This window comes from Homo sapiens, chromosome 2 (genome assembly GCF_000001405.40).
Source record: "Homo sapiens chromosome 2, GRCh38.p14 Primary Assembly".
In the NCBI taxonomy this organism is placed as follows: Eukaryota; Metazoa; Chordata; class Mammalia; order Primates; family Hominidae; genus Homo; species Homo sapiens.
The window spans coordinates 116,298,139-116,315,794 of record NC_000002.12 but is presented as its reverse complement, the minus strand read 5'-3'; the positions used below and the strand labels follow the sequence as shown (position 1 = coordinate 116,315,794).

General features: G+C 31.3%; 1 long non-coding RNA gene across 2 annotated transcripts in view; it reads right to left on the bottom strand.

The window, feature by feature from the left end:
- Window positions 1-17,656, bottom strand: part of LOC105373576 (uncharacterized) — a 93,637-nt gene that overhangs the window by 72,419 nt on the left and 3,562 nt on the right. The window contains exon 3 of one of the 2 annotated variants that reach the window (XR_923240.1): window positions 6,410-6,487. The exons of the other annotated variant lie outside the window; for it this stretch is intronic. This is a non-coding gene — a long non-coding RNA (uncharacterized LOC105373576). Of the gene's footprint in view, window positions 1-6,409; window positions 6,488-17,656 lie in introns of those variants that run through there. 2 annotated transcript variants of the gene reach the window in all.

Below are 17,656 nucleotides of genomic sequence, written 5' to 3'. Positions count from 1 at the left end.
CATGTGGGGTTCTGTGAGTCATTTCTAGTGAAACACATGTTATAAATAATGTGTATATGTTACATATAATGTATTTGTATATGTTATATAAAGCATGTGTGCATGTGTATATATTATATAAAACATATAAACTCTCCTGTGGGGAAAGATATATATATCTGGCATTTTATTAAACAATGTATATATATATGCATATACATATACATACATATACATATGTATATATACATATACATACATATACATATGTATATATACATATACATACATATACATATGTATATATACATATACATACATATACATATGTATATATACATATACATACATATACATATACATACATATACATATGTATATATACATATACATACATATACATATACATACATATACATATGTATATATACATATACATACATATACATACATATACATATACATATGTATATATACATATACATACATATACATATACATATGTATATATACATATACATATACACATATACATACATATGTGCACATATGTATGTATATGTGTGTGTAGGTAGGTAGGTAGATAGATAGATCTCCCTACAGAAGACCTTATTTCTTCAAAGTAGCTTGAACAACAGTGTGTGAACAGTGCTTATGGTAAGAAAATCTATAGAGAAATGAAGAGAAAAGTAGTCAACATTTGTTTCTTTTATTTATCAGGTACTTTCCAAGAAACTAGAGGATACAGATATATACAATGTAAGATTCTACAACTCAAAATCTATGCTTACTTTTATTCTGTCACCAATACTTTATTTATACAACATCACTCTAATAACCCTAGGTATTTTCTTTCTCAGCTTCTCTCTCTATATATTGATCTCTCTTTTCAGCTCTCTCTTAATATACACCTTGACTCATGTTATTTATACACACACACACACACACACACACACACACACACCATTAATCATACATTCTCTTAAACTCTTGCTACCAAAACTCATTTCGATCCATAATAATCCTCTTTCTCATTTCTCCTCTTCAGTTAAGTAAATAAGCTTGTCGTTCTCTTATCTATAGATGTCTCTATGTGATTTGGCTCCTATACCCTATCATCTTTTTAAAAACTTGGTAATATCAATTATGCTTGCTTTCTTAATATTTAACATTTCTTAAAAAACATATTAAAATTACCATAAAAACATCATGCTCTCTGATATTAAATTTTAAAAAGTCTAAACTTCCCTGGACCTCATATTCCTCTAAAATTCTCTCTCTTTCACAGCCAAGCTATTATAAGGGTTATTAATGCCTGTCATCCCCACTTCCTCATTTGAAAGACTCTCCTCACTCCACTCCTATCTGGCTTCTGCCCTATGTCTCATTCCAAATATCTCCTATTCAGAACTCAATGCCTTCACTGTCCTTGAAGCCAATGATTATTTTTTACCCCCCATAGGACCTCTACCCTAAATCTCTTCTTTGAGATTCAGAAGCATACTCTCAGAGGCTTACTTGATATTTTCTTTTAAATATCTAAGACAACTCTTTAATATTATGTCCAAAAAGAAACTCATAATCTTTCTGCTCCAAATCTTCCTGCTCCTAGAAGAGATACAAATGAATAAGCTTGGGTATTCAAGGAGTAGACAGTCCAGTGTTGGAAAGCAACAAGAAAATAAATGCCAAATTACTATGTAATATGTGCTATTATAATGATGATCAGGACAGAAATATATACATAATTCAAAAGAGAAAAAAATGCCACAACTATAATAAAACTAAGATGACAATTTTTTTTATACCTAGAAGATTGACAACAATTCAGCAGTGTGACTGTATCAATCATTAAGTGTTACGAGAATTTAGAGGAAAATACCAAAAGCAGGATACTTAATAAATGATACAGGAATAGTGATTTTAGGACGTACTGACAAGAAAAGACAGCACTTTAACTAAGTTTTGCTTAATAAAGCAGGTCTAATTGACATGATTAAGAAGGGAGAATAAATATTATTAGGAAAGGCAAAGGGACATAAAAGGGATACATGGAAGTGTTCAGAAAAATAGAAAGTGGAAGAGACTAAAAGAAAAACCACAAAGGCATAAAAAAAATTTAATTTCAGTCCTGCTCAAGAAATTGAAGAGGTATTATTTCATTTAACATTGCATTACATATAATCTGAGTTAGAAAAATAACGCAATTTTATTCAACTTGATTCCCACCACACTTCAAATTCAGTTCATGCTTGTTTGCACATTTTGTTAGATATTCAACACATTCAAGAGATCCAAATGATAGGTAATTTTTTTTCTATATTTTTATGTTTATAAGTCCAAAGTTAAATTTATTTAATTTTTCATAATTTGAATTATGGTAGCCCTCTGACCATACTGGTCTGAAAGGAAGGATTTTTACTTTCTGTTTAATTCACAGTTTATGATTTTTTTCTAATTTCTAATTCACACAAACTATTATTTTCTTTCCTTTAAATATCTGAAGTCAGGAAGTGAGAAAAAGAATAAAAATGAGACATGATTGGCTATGGGTTGGTAGCTGTTGAAGTTAGGTGATATATGCATGGAAGTTCATTATCCTATTCTGTCTCCTATTAAACATGTTTGAAATTCACCATAATAAAATATTAAAAAAAATAGACAAATCTCAGGCTCGGTAGTCAGACAGATATAGTTGAATTCTAACCCTTTCATCTTAGCTCTTTCAAAGTGTGGCTCTTTCATTTGTGCTTTCCAAGTCTCTAATGCAGACCTATCATTGAAGTTTCACTTCCAGAAGGCAAGTCAGGAATCGCTATTACTGCCTAGTTAAGTCTACCACAAGAAGCTTGTGTTGGCATTGATGACATTGGCAAATTGATCAGAGTTCTGATCCTCAGACTCAAAGGTTTAGAAATCTAATCTTATTTTTCCTTGTAAAAGTGATATGTCTTTCAGGGAAAAAGTTATATTACACAAGCCACATATTCTTCCCTTGTAGGTGGCTTTAAGTTAAAAGCCCAATCATTATTACTGTTATTATTTTCAACCATGTGTAGAGTTCTTGCTATGTGTCAGACACTCTTCTAAGCACTTTATAAATATTATCCCATTTGTCCTTGTAACAATATCTTTATAGATGAGGAATAGCTGAAACAGAGATGTCAGATTACTTTCTGAAATTCATATGTCTCAGAGTACAAGAGCTTGGATTTTGAATCCAGCCAATCTGGATTTAAATCTGTGCTCTTAACCATGTAACATTTGGTATTCATCAAGAAAGAACTAAATGGGTCAACACAATTACAATAAGAGTTCTCAATCTCTTGTTGAAGATGCCCAGAACAATAACACTCAAAATTTAACAGCAGTAGGTTCTATCCTGTCTGCAAAAGATGAGATGAATGCTTCTGAAAGAAGCCTCTCTGACATTTGTCTGTTTCTCAGAAGCTGCCCAACTCTTACTGTGATCTATGTATTATTAAAAGACACTTCAGTGTCTTCATTCTAAACTTTCTCTGACTCAGGGGCCATTTTACTTTTTGATGACAAATTTTTGTAGCTTTGAATTTGTCTCTTAGTTTGTGTTTTATAGGAAATTTCAAGTTACTATAATTCCTAATTTCAACTAAAAACACTGAGGTCCAAATAGGTTAAATAACTCACTTTGTGGCAAAGCTGGTAGAGCTAATGATTCAGTTCCTAATGGAGAGCAATTTATGTGTTTTTGCTAAATTAAACAGAATGTCAATGTGAAATAAGGCGGTATAGGAGAAGTTTTTAGAGATACCACACTTCACCAACTTTTAAACTTATACCAGATATGTTGTGTTTTTTTTTTTCCTGTCAGTATTGAACAGTCATTTCCAATTCAATTTTGTTTATGTAAGTCATGACCCTGATTGAATTCAATTGTATTAAATGGAATTTTGAAAGATTGTCCTTTTCTCAGTGTGCCTTCTTGAGGTCTTTGTTGAAAATCACTTGGCTGTAAATACATAGATTTATTTCTCAGTTGTCTATTCTGTTACGTTAGTCTATATGCCTGTTTTTATGCAAGTAACATCCTGTTTTGGTTGCTATAGTTTTGTAGAATATTTTAGAGTGAGGTAGTGTGATACCTCCAGGTTTGCTATTATTGCACAAGATTTTTTTTTAACTATCCATTTTCTTTTTCCTTTCCATATACATTTTAGAATTTTTTTCTATCTCTGAAAAATGTAATTGGCATTTTGATGGAAATTGCATTGCATCTGTAGATTGTTTTGAGTAATACAGACATTTTCATATTAATTTTTCTAATTTGTGAACAGGTTATCTCTTTTCATTTATTTGTGTCCTCTTCAATTTCCTTCATTATTACTTTATAGTTTTCATTATAGAAACCTGTTATGTTCTTAGTTAAGTTTATTCCTAGGTATACATTCTTTGTAGCTATTATAAATGAAATTGCTTTCTTGATTTCTTTTTTATATAATTCACTATTGGTGTGTAGAAATGTTACTGATTTAACATGTTGGTTTTGTATCCTGCAACTTAACTAAATATGTTAATTCTAATAGTTTTTTTTTTGCTGAAATTTTTAGGGTGTTCTATATGTACAATCGTGTCATAGGCAAACAGGGACAACTTCCTCCTTTACAATTTCTATGCACTCTTTTTCTTTATTTTGCCAGTTTACTCTGGTTAAGGCTTCTAGTACTGTGTTGAATAAAGGTAATGAAAATGGGCATCATTGCCCTGTACTAGAACTCAGATAAAAATTTTTCTCTGAATTTTACCCATTCAGTGAGCTGTGGCTTGTCATATATAGCCTTTATTGTGCTGACATGTTCCTTCTATACCCACTTTGTTGAGGGTTTTTATCATAAAGAGATATGAAATATTATCAAATGTGTTTCCAGCATCCATTGAAATAATCATTTAATTTTTTACCTTGATTCTGTTAATGTAGTAAATGGCATTGGGAAAACTGGATATCCACATGCAGAAAAATAAAACTAGATCCCTATATCTCATTATATAAAAAATCAACTTTAAATAGACCAACAACTTAAATGTAAGACTAAAAAGTATAAAATGATTAAAAAAAATCAGAGGAAATTCTTCACGAATTGGAGTGAGTGAAGAATTTTTGAGTAAGACTCAAAGAACAGACAACCAAAGCAAAAATAGACAAATGAGATTATATCAAACAGAAAAGTTTCTGCACAGCAAAGAAACAATAAAGTGAAGAGACAACCTACAGAATGGGAGAAAGTATTTGCAAATTATGCATCTGACAAGTAGCTAATGTCCAGAAGATATAAGGAACTCAACTCAATAGCATACAAACAACAATAACAAAAAAAATCCAATTTATAAATGGGCCAAGGACCCAAACTGACTTTTCTCAAAAGAAGACATACAAATAGCCAACAGGTATATGAAAAAATGTTCATCACCACTAATCATTGGAGAAATGCAAATAAAAACTAAAATGAGATATCACCTAACCCTCATTAGAATAGCTGTTATCAAAAAGACAAAAATGTGACAAATGCTGATGAGGATGTGGAGAAAAGGGACTTTTATACACTGTTGGTGGGAATGTAAATTAGTACAACCATTGTGGAAACCAGTGTAGTTTCTTCAAAAAATTAAAAATAGAACTACCATATGATCCAGCAATCCCATAACTGGGTATCTATCCAAAAGAAAAGCAATAAGTAGCAAAGACATGTGCATGCCCATGTTTATTGCAGAGCTGGTCACAAAAGCCAAGGTACAGAATCAACCTAAATGCCCATCCAATGAAGAATGGGTAAAGAAAATATGGCTATATACATAATGGAATACTATGTAGCCATAAAACAGAATAAAATTCTATCATTTGTAGCAACATGAATGAACCTGGAGAACGTTATGTTAAGTGAAATAAGCCAGACACAAAAAGAAAAATACCATATGATCTCATTCATACGTGAAATCTAAAAAAAGTTTATTTCATGGAAGTAGAGTGTGTAGAATATTGGTTACCAGAGACTGGGGATATGAGGGAGAATAAGGGGAATGGGAGAAGTTGGTCAATGGGTACAAAGTTGCAGATAGTAGGAATACGCTTTAGTGTTCTTTACACACTAGGATGACTGTAGCAAGTAACAACGTGTAGTTAAAGATCACTGGAAGAGATTTTGAATGTTGTCACTACAAATAAATAATGCTAAAAGTGATGTATATGATGGTTACCCTGATTTAATCATTACACTGTACATACAGTGAGACATTACATTACATATCAGAAATATGCACAATTATTATGTGTCAATTATAAGTAAAAAATAAATTTAAAATGAAATATCAGCAGACCTCTAGGATTTGCTATTTTCTCAATGACAAAATATTTACCTTTGAATTTTCAACCAACATCCAGGCATTGTCTCTATAATGTCTTCTATTATATTTCTATTTTGCTTCAGTCTGTATATTTGTTCAAAATTCAGGAGTCTTTGAACCCAATATTAATAATCTACAGGGATAAAATAAATATTCTGAAGGGCATGAATCTAGTTTCTCTATATTACACAGAGATATTTTGCAACAACATTTTACTGGAGTTTGTTTTAAACAGTATTTTATTTTGCATTTGTAAGAGTTTTGCTATAAATTAAACTCATAGTCAACTCAAATGTTAAGAAAATAATCAATTATGTAACTTCATTAACAAAATCATCAATCTGCTCAAATACAAACAAGTTGTTCTGATACTCAATATTCTCTTATGTTAAAATGTTAAATTTTAGACTCTTCATACAATTTCAGTCACTTCAGTAGATATGTTTGTATTTCAGGTATTAAGGAGTAATATGTAATTTATGAGAGAGAGTGTGTGTGTATTAACTGCCACTCCATCATAAAGTATTCTCTCACTGTTGATTTAGCTCTATTGATAAATAAATTATAAGGAAAGGCATTATCTCTTTTTATATTCCACGTTGAAATGCAAATTGGCTTTTTCTTCTAAATAATTATCAATTTTGGTAAATATAAATATACTAAAAACTGAGACAGGACAAAATATTCAGTATTTTAAAATTATTTTGAAGTCATACTATTGCTATAATCAGAAACTATATTTTAGTTTCATTTTTAAATAAAATATAAACTTTTCTGAATTACTTTCAGGAGATGCTAGCAAAATTTTTTTCTGTGTTATAAAAGCTGTTATATTAATATAATCATAATAAATTTTAGCATATATTAATACTAATACTTCTAAGTATGATAATATGAGAATATAATTGAGACAAATACAAAATCTATAATGTAAAAAAGCAAAAATTGTAATTGAATATTAATGATCAATAACAATTACATCCTAAGCAATATTTTTACAAAAGTAGCAGTGATTGATAGAAAACATTCAGATTGGCACAAATAAAATAAAATATTTTTGAATCAGTAGAAACTTCTTTATTTTATGCAGTTTACTCTGAGAAGTATCTTGTGGAATAATGCAAGAAGGCATCTTTCCTTAGAAGTTTGAAAGAAGGACACTCAGTAATTTGAGTGACCTATTCTTGTTATATTTCCCTTCACCATCTGCTGTCTTTCATTTTTATTTATTTATTTACTTATTTATTTTTGAGACAGAGTCTTGCTCTGTCGCCCAGGCTGGAGTGCAGTGGCACTATCTTGGCTCACTGCAAACTCTGCCTCTCTGGTTCAACCCATTCTCTTGCCTCAGCCTCCCGAGTAGCTGGGATCATAGGTGTGTTCCACCATGCTTGACTAATCTTTGTATTTTTAGTAGAGACAGGGTTTTGCCATGTTGGCCATGCTGGTCTTGAACTCCTGACCTCAGGTGATCCTCCCACCTCGGCCTCCCAAAGTGCTAGGATTACAGGCATGAGCCACTATGCCCGGCCTTGTCTTTTAGTTATAAACTTTAAGGTGAGAATATTTCACAGTAATAAGAGAGAAAGGGAAGATGCAAATTCCCATTATGAATACATATGTGCTTGTAAGCCTGCATCTATCATGTTTCATCCATAAATATCTTTGCAATCCTCAAAAATCATTTGTATTTACTATACATTCTGCCTTGATTTATTACATTTCTACTCTTTGAGTGCCCTCACAAAAATATGGACTCATAGTTTATACCAGTAAAAGATAATATTTAAAATATGCAACACATGTTCATTGTCAAAACTACAGAAAAGTAAGAATATATTTAGTTTCACATTTCACAAATAGCTATTATTATTTTTCCAACTGTGTGTATGTGTTTTGCGGGCTGGGGTAAGGTGGCTATGTCTGTGTATGTGAAGAGAAAGTTGAGTTTACTTGAACAGTGCTTAACTGTACTCGCCTCTACGTTTTATTGGGGGAGATGTATTGACAAATGCTTCAGACAATTATTGAAGAATAAAAGTAGATTTTCTACACGGATATTAGTTTGGCATTGCAGTGGGCAAAAAGGTGTTCAGTAAGTCAATCAATGGAAGTGGGAAAAGTAATTCTAACTTGTGAGGAATTCAGATGAAGCTAAATGACAGTGAGAATCCAAATGAATGGAAGGAATGAAGTGAAGGAATAAAAGGCAGTATACAATTATCAAAGCCATAAATTTTCTAAGCTTAAAAATAGAAACATTAAAATATTTCATCTATCCCTGTCAGACCATCAAGATTCGTTCCTCTAGGCCATATAAGAATTTCTGTTTGGTAGATGTTTTTGGATATTATTGTCCATCTGTTGAAGCATCTGTAATACTGACACCTAAATACCTTTTACCCCAAAACTTCTTTAAATTAAATCTGTGATTTCAGTGTTTTCTGAGTGCCATTACTAAGACAGCCTAGAATTCTTATATGTGTGTATATATATGTTATGTGTGTATATATGTACACATATATGTTATATGTATACATACAGACACATTTTAGCTATAAAAATATGGAAATAATACTTATATAAATGCTAGCTTTGGTAAACTTGTGTTATCTTTTGATTTATATTCTATTGCCTAAGATGGAATTCTCCCAAGCCTCTTTATGCCAAGAATTTTACCTGCAATATCTTATCTATGTCCAAACATAATCCTGTCAATTACATGTTGTTATTCTCATTTTGCAGATCAGAGAGGTTAGGTAATTGTCTGAATCCACACAGTGAACAAGTAGCAGAAATAGAATTAAAAAAAACTATTTCTGTCTTCTTTTAGAATGTTGGGCTTAATACTCAGACATGTCTCTATTGAGAATTCCAAACTCCAGAGTATTCATTAGTGTTTATAATTTGAATCCTATGTGTCCTAAGCTTGACTGAATCATTCCCATCACATAAGTAATGAAAAACTTCTCTTTCTGCATTTGGTTGGAGATGTATGACAAGCACTGCAGAACCGTGCTTGAAACAAAAATAAATATACATTTTTATATTTCACAAAATCACTCTGTTCCCCTTATTCACTATTTTTTGTTCATTTGTTTCCATACACAAATAGAACAACCTAATACATTACTGCAGCACCGAAATGTAGAATATAAATTGCAGAGATTTTTACATTTTTGTCTGTCTTTCTTGTTACTCTATCAGAATCAGAGAGGGCTATGTTGAATTTCAAACTTGTTAGACCCAAGGTAAAAAAAAACAAAAAAGTGGCTTTCCTCCCCAAAAAATGTGTTTCTGAAAAAATAATTATAACTATTTCTATAATCAGAAACTATATTTTCTGATTATCCAGTACAATTAGTACAAATACAAATCTATAAGCATCACGTGAAATGCCCAATAGAAATTTTTTATATAAAGAAAGAAGTGGCATATAAGGGGCAAATTATTCTATAAAGATTTACCAATCATTTTTAAGCTTGGATTTATGTTTGAAGAGACTTTCATTAAAATATTGCAAACTGGTTTTGGCCAATTGTAATGTGAGCATCCTTTAGAAGGAGTGATAACGATTTTGGGGCTAGAAAGCTAAATGAACACATGAGCCTTCCTTCCTTTTCCCAATATTACATATTTTGCCTCTGAGGCATGACATTTTTGCCCTTCTTCATATAAATTAAATGTAAGTTACTTTGCAAATAAGGTATTGTGGCTTATTTTCACAAAAATAAAATGACCTATGCTATATCTGTTCAACGTATTCTATCTACAATACCCTCCAGTGGTCTCTCATTTGTATTGTGATAAAATCCACTGGAGGATTTTATCATCTAGTGATATGACCAGATGTTTATTTTGTCAAATATAGCTCCTTATTATTTAAATAGTAACATTTTAATATTCAGATTTCAAGTTACGTATTGTTGTCCCAATGAAAATTTCCCTTAACTCTTAGTCATGAGCCCATTATATACACTCACATAATACTATTTATTTTTCCCTTATGACACATTACATTATTTATAATTATAAATATATTTTTAGATTGTTTGATTAATGCCTTCATTAACTTAGTTTCACAAAGACAGAGACCTTGTCTAATTGTTTTCTCCATTGAATTTCTGAAGGTCTGCCATGGAATATATTAAGTAGTTAATAAATTATGTATTTAAAAAGCACACTGACAGGTGTGTGAACATAGAGATTCACCACAAAGTTAACATTAGACATCCTATGTAGTGTGAGTATAAATTATTTGATTTAATCTTAATTTTACATTTTCTAATATATATTAATTTTATAATGACAGTATTTTAAAAGGAAAGAAGTATAAATCTTTATATCAGTTAGCACCACATAGACAAAATTCCAGTTGCAATTCCTTGTTTAGGATATCACTTCTGCTTTCTTGTTTTTAAGATACAATTTCATTCCCTTGGAATGTGCTCCATCTATAAATTGATGTTTTTTAATCAAAATTTATTTCTTGTCTTAAAAGCAAGACATTTATAATTTGTCTTCTTTATTGATGACTTGATTATAGTTATTTCACAAAAGCTGCATCCATCCATTTATATTGGTTTATTTAAGACCTATAATGTTATTCAACTGGGTTCTAGAGCCATAAAGGTGATAAAGACTTATTTCTTGCCGTAGATAAGTGTTTAGAAAAGAAGTAATTGTAAAAGTCACATTGAAGTAACTGCTTATAGAGCCTAATATTTGGTGTGATTTGAAGCCTGAGGCAAAAGTTGTGAGCTATTCTAATGAGTATGTAAGGTATGGGATTAGTCCAATCAGCTTCCAGAAAGATTTAAAATTGAGCAGAGCCCTGGAGGAAGAGTAACCACTCATCAAGAATGAAGTGAGAGAAGAATGGTTCCTGGCAAAGGAAACAGCACAGGCAGTGAAGTGGGGATGTGAAAGTGAATGCTGTCTTCCGGGAATAGTAACAAGGAAGGCATGGCCAGTCTATATGGCATTCAGGGGAAGTGTTAGGAGACAAAACTATGAAGAGTATTAGGAGCTAGATAATGAAGCAAATCTTAGGCCTTGCTAAGAAACTTAGCTGGCTAAGAAACAAGACATTTTACTGTGTTAGAAAGCAGAATGGATTCCAAATATTGAAACCATGAACTTCTCTAGGTGGTTACGTCAATAATATAATGGTATTATAAAGATATAGAATAAAGTCGTCATCTTTAGGGCCCGTTATTCTCTCTGAGTCATTAATTTTGATGTAAAAACAAAAATTCAGTAGTAAAAACTGCTTTAGTAGCAATGATAATATGAATAGACATTTTCCATATCATTCCTTGTGGAAAAATAGATGACTTTTAATTTCCCCTTTTTAATAATATGTCCATATTAATGCATGTTAGCCTATGTTGTCTCTCAGAAAATAAATTTGGATGTTTATTCAATGAACTTTCTAATAAAAAACTTCAGATATGGTGGGTAATATTTTACTATTTATTTTCTGTTTCTTATTTGTGGGCATTTAATATTAGAGAACCTTGGAATCAGAGAAACAATGATTTGAATTCCAGCTCTGGAGCCCATATTTTGTACTGTCTGTGTAATGTCCATTACTCTGAATTCCTCTCAGTCTCCATTCCCACCTCAGTAAAATGGCAATAATAATATTTGCATGGCAACATGGAATATTGCTTCAGTAAATGTATTTCATGAGTCATCAGTCTTGTTCTCTTGATCAACCTTTATGCATACCTTGGCCTACAAAGAGTTGAGATGTAGACTATGTCTCTGGAGTGAGCAGGCCTCTGGGTTACTCAGAAACTGAACCATACCTTTGAAGCACCATGTACTCTATCAGTGTTTATTTGATTTGCATAAGTTCAGAACACTTTTAAGGGAAATAAAACAAATATTGCCTTGAATTATTTTTATATTAGTTGAACATACAAATGTAAACTTCTCATTATAACCTTTATACAACTAAAAATACAAGTAAAATTCTTAAATTTTAAATCACAAAGGATAATTCAATATAACTGATGGTACTGAAATTTCTGCCTAAAAGGAGCTCCATAAAATATTTTATAAATACATACAAGAACATCAAATTGACTGCTGATATTCAGATTTTGTTGTGTTTGGCATTCCTGAACAATCATTGGCCACCAAGTTACAGTTCAATTTTCCCACTATTTTTCTCCCTACAATCCTATAGTTAAATATTTTTACAGTGCGCCTACATGTTGTTTTGCATTAAACCAACTTAAGTATATTATATCTACATTAAATCTGTCTCTATTTATTTTTATTAGTCAGTGATGAAGTAATACTTTATGCATCAATATAACCTGAAATATAAGTGTAAATACCAATATTGGAAATTGCCTAGAAGTGCTTATCAATATAGGTGATAGCCTAATAATTGCATTATGCTTTTATTAATATTCCATTTTAGTATAACAGTATACAATTAAACATATGGATTATCCATGGACACTAAAAATATTTCAGACAGTCATGAAGGTTGCAGAGAAATCCAGCGTAAGAAAGAGTGGTCTAAAATAACTAAGGTAGTATGACACTTAGGAATGAAAGGATTTTTAAGCAATATTTGATAGCTTCAAATAGTATTTTGCTCTTAACAGCATCTTCATATTTTTAAATTTTTTATTTCAATTTTTATTATGCATTATTTTTTAGATAGAGTCTCGTTCTTTCACCCAGACTGGAGTGCAATTTTTAAAATTTTAACTGATACATAACAGATGCACATATTTTGAGGGTAATTTGATACATTCACATAATGTGTAATGATCAAATTAGCTTAATCAGGATATTCATCACCTTAAATATTTCTGTTTATGCTAGGAACACTTAAATTAGTCTCTTCTAGCTATTTTGAAAAATACAGTAGATTAATGCTAACTATAGTCGCCCTACTGAACTATTGAATACTGGGTCTTATATCTTCTAACTGTATATTTGCACCCATTAATCAAACGCCCTTCATCTTTGCCTACCTCTTTTGGCCTCTGGTAACTACAAATCTGCTACCTTCATGGGCTCCACCATTTTACCTCCCACTTATGGATGAGGACATGCAATATTTTTCTTTGCTTGGCTTATTTTACCTAATTTCAGTTCTATTCATGTTGCTGTAAATGACAGGATTTTATTATTTTTATGTTGAATTATATATCATTGTGTAGTATATATCAATTTTCTTCATCTGTTTAACCATTGATGGGCACTTAAGTTGATTCCATAGTTTGTCTTATTAATAGTTCTGCAAAACACAGGGGAGTGTAGACAGCTCTTTGATATATTAATTTCCTTTTTTGGATATATGCCCAGTAGTAGAATTGCTAGATCATATGAAAGTTACAATAAAAAACCCTCAATAAACTGTGTATAGAAGGAACATACCTCAAAAAAATAAAGTCACTTCAATAATGTTTCCTATAGTGACTGTACTAATTTTCACTCCCACCAAGAGAGTACAAGAGTTCCTTTCCTCCACATCCTCACCAGCATTTATTATTCCCTGTCTTTTCAATAAAAGCCATATTCACTAGGGTGAGATAATATCTCATTGTGGTTTTGATTTGGATTCATCTGATGATTAATGATGTTGAGCATTTTTTCATATACCTATTGGCCATTTGTATGTCTTATTTTGAGAAATGTCTTTTTAGACTTTAGCTCATGTTTAAATAAAATTATTTGGTGTTTTTTGCTATTGAGTTGTTTGAGCTCCTTTTATATTCTGGTTATTAATCCCTTGATGGAGAGTTTGCAAATAGGTTATTTTATTCTGTAGGTTGTCTCTTTACTTTATATATTTAGCTGTGCAGAAACTTTTTCTTTTGATGTAATCTCATTTGTCTATTTTTTTCTTTTGTTGCCTTTAGCTTTCTTGTATTAATTTCATAATTTCAGGCCTTAGATTTAAATGTTTAATCTGTTTTGATTTTATTTTTGTATATGGTGAGAAGAGGGATATAGTTTCATTCTTCTGCATATGGTTATCAAGTTTCCCTACCAGTATTTATTTAAAAGGCTGTTGTTCCCCATTGTATGTTCTTGGTGCCTTTGTCAAAACTGAATTGGCTGTAACTGTGTGGATTTATATCTGGGTTCTCTATTACGTTCCAGTGCTCTATGTTTCTGTTTTTACCCCAGTAGCATGCTGATTTTGTTACTATAGCCTTGTGAGATATTTTGAAATCAGGTATTGTAACACTTCTGCTTTTGTCCCTTATGTTCAGGATTGCTTTGGCTATTCGAAGTCTTTTGTGGATCCACGTAAGTGTTAGGCATTTTTTTTTCCTATTTCCCGGAAGAATGTCATTGGTATTTTGATAGAGATGTCATTGAATATGTAAATTGCTTTGAATAATATTTTCATTTTAACATTATTAATTTTTCCAATAATTAGCATAAACCACCATTTCTTGTTGCCTCTTCAATTTATTTCATTATTGTTTTATAGTATTAGTTTTGTATAGTATAATTCTTTCGCATATATATATATATTTTTTTTTGAGATGGAATCTCGCTCTGTAGCCCAGGCTGGAGTGCAGTGGCGCGATGTTGGCTCACTGCAACCTCCACCTCCCAGGTCCTGGTTCAAGTGATTCTCCTGCCTCAGCCTCCCGAGTAGCTGGGATTACAAGCACGCACCACCATGCCCAGCCAATTTTTGTATTTTTAGTAGAGACGGGGTTTCACCATGTTGGCCAGACTGCTCTTGAACTCCTGACCTCATGATCTGCCTGCCTCGGCCTCCCAAAGTGCTGGGATTACCAGTGTGAGCAACCACGCCCAGCCCACATCTTTGGTTAAATTGAATCCTAGGTATTTTATATTATTTGTAGCTATTGTAATCAGGAATGCTTTCTTGATTTCCTTTCAGACTGTTTGCTCTTGGAGTATATAAATGCTACTGATTTTTGTATCCTGTAATTTTATTGAAATGAGCAGTTCCAACAGTTTTTTGGTGGACTCTTTAGGTTCTTATAAGATTATATCAGACAAAAATCTTAATTTGACTTCTTCCATTCCAATTTCAGTGTTCTTTATTTCTGTTGTATGATTGTTCTGGTGAGGAATTCCAGTATTATGTTGAATAAAAGTGGTGAAAGTAAATTTTTCTTGTTCCAGATCTTAGAGAAAAGGCTTTCAGTTTTTCCCTGTTCAGCAGGACACTGGCTGTGGCTTTGTCACATACAGCTTTTATTATTTTGAGATACTTTCCTTCTATACCCAGTTTGTTGAGTGTTTTTTTTAATCCTAAAATGATATTGGATTTTATAAAATTATTTTTGGCATATATTTGAAATGATAGTATTGTTTTGTTCTTGGTTCTGTTAAAATGTTTTATCATGTTTATTGCATTGCAATCAATAATAGTGCAATTATTGATTTATTGAACCATCCTTGCATCCCTAGGATGAATCCCACTTAATCATGGTGAATAATCTTTCTAATGTGTTGTTAAATTGAGTTTCCTTGTATTTTTTTTGTTGAGGATTTTTATATCTATGTTAATCAGTGATATTGGCCTGTAGTTTATTTATTTATTTTTATTTGTTGTTGTTGTGTCCTAGTTTGGTATTAGTCATCAAAATAGTGCTGGCTTTGTAGAATGAATTTGGAAGTAGTATCTCCCTGTCATTTTTTTTTTTTTTTTTTGAAGAGTTTGAGTAGAATTGGTATTCTTATTAAATGTTTGGTAGAATTCAGCATTGAAGCCATCAGGTCCTGGGCTTCTCTTTGATGGGGGACATTTTATTATAGCTTCAATTTTGTTGCTCTTTATTGGTTTACAGAAGTTTTTTTATTTCTTCATAGTTCAATCTTGGTAGGTGGTATGTGTCCAAGAATTTATGAATTTCTTCTAAGTTTTCCAATTTGTTGGCATAAAGTTGTTCCCAATAGTCTCTAATTTTTTTTATTTTATTTCTGTAGTCTCAGTTTTATGTCATCGTTATCACTTCTGATTCTATTTGGGTCTCCTCTGTTTTCCTAGTTAAGTTTTGCTGATTTTACTTATCAAGAAAAAGCCTTTTCATTTATATGGTTTTCTGTATTTTTTTCATCTCAATTTCATTCATTTATGATCGGATCTTAATTTTTTCTTTCTTTCCACTAATTTTGGATTTGGTTTGTTCCTGATTTTCTATTTCCTTGAGGTGTATCATTAGGTTGTTTATTTAAAGTCTTTCTATTTTTTATGCAAGTATTTATTGCTATAAACCTCATGCCTAGTACTACTTTTGCTGTATCTCAGATTTTGTTTGTTGTCTTTTAAGAAATTTTCAAATTTGCCTTCTTCATTTATTCATTGACCCATTGGTCATTCAGGAGCATGTTGTTTAATTTTGATGTGTTTGTGTAGTTTTTTAGTTTTCTCTTATTATGTATTTCTACTTGTATTACAGTGTTCGGAAGAAATACTTAATATAATTTCTATTTTTTTGAATTTATTGACATTTGTTTTGTGGCCTAAGATATAGCCCGTTGTGAAAATTTTCCATGTGTTGATAAAAAGAATGTGTATTCTGTTGCCATTGGGTGAAATGTCCTGTAAATTTCAGTTATTCCTATTTGATTTAGTGTGTAGTTTAACTGCGATGTTTCCTTGTTGATTTTCTGTTTTAGTGATCTGTCCATTACTGTAAATGGGGTGTTGAAGTTTTCAATGATTATTAAATTGCAGTCTGTATCTTCCTTCAGATTAATTAATGTTTGTTTTATATACTTGTGTGTTTCAGTGTTGTTTGCATTAGTATTTATATTGGATATATCTTCTTGCTGAATTGAAATATTTATCATTATGTAGTGACATTTTTCTTTTACAGTCTTTGACTTCTGGTCTGTTTTATCTAAGCATAGCTACCCCTATTTTTTAGTATCCACTAGAATGGAATATCTTTTTCTTTCCATCCCTTCACTTGCAGTCTATGTGTGTCTTTACAGGTGAAATGGATTTCTAGTAGACAGCGTAGTTGGTTCTTGTTTCTTTATTCAATCAGCCACTCTTTTTTCTATAACTGGAAAGTTAAGTTCATTTACATTCAATGATGTTAGTGGTAATAAACAAGGACTTACTGCCATTTTTTGGTTGTTTTATACTTCATTTGAAATTCCTTTTTTTCCCTGTTTTCATTTTTTATTGTCTCTATCGTTAAGTGATTTTCTCTTGTAGTATGTTTTAATTCATTGCTTTTTATTTTTAACATACCTATTACAGGTTTCTGCATTTTGGCTACCATGAGGTTTACAAAAACCTATTATAGATGTAATAAATCATTTTAAA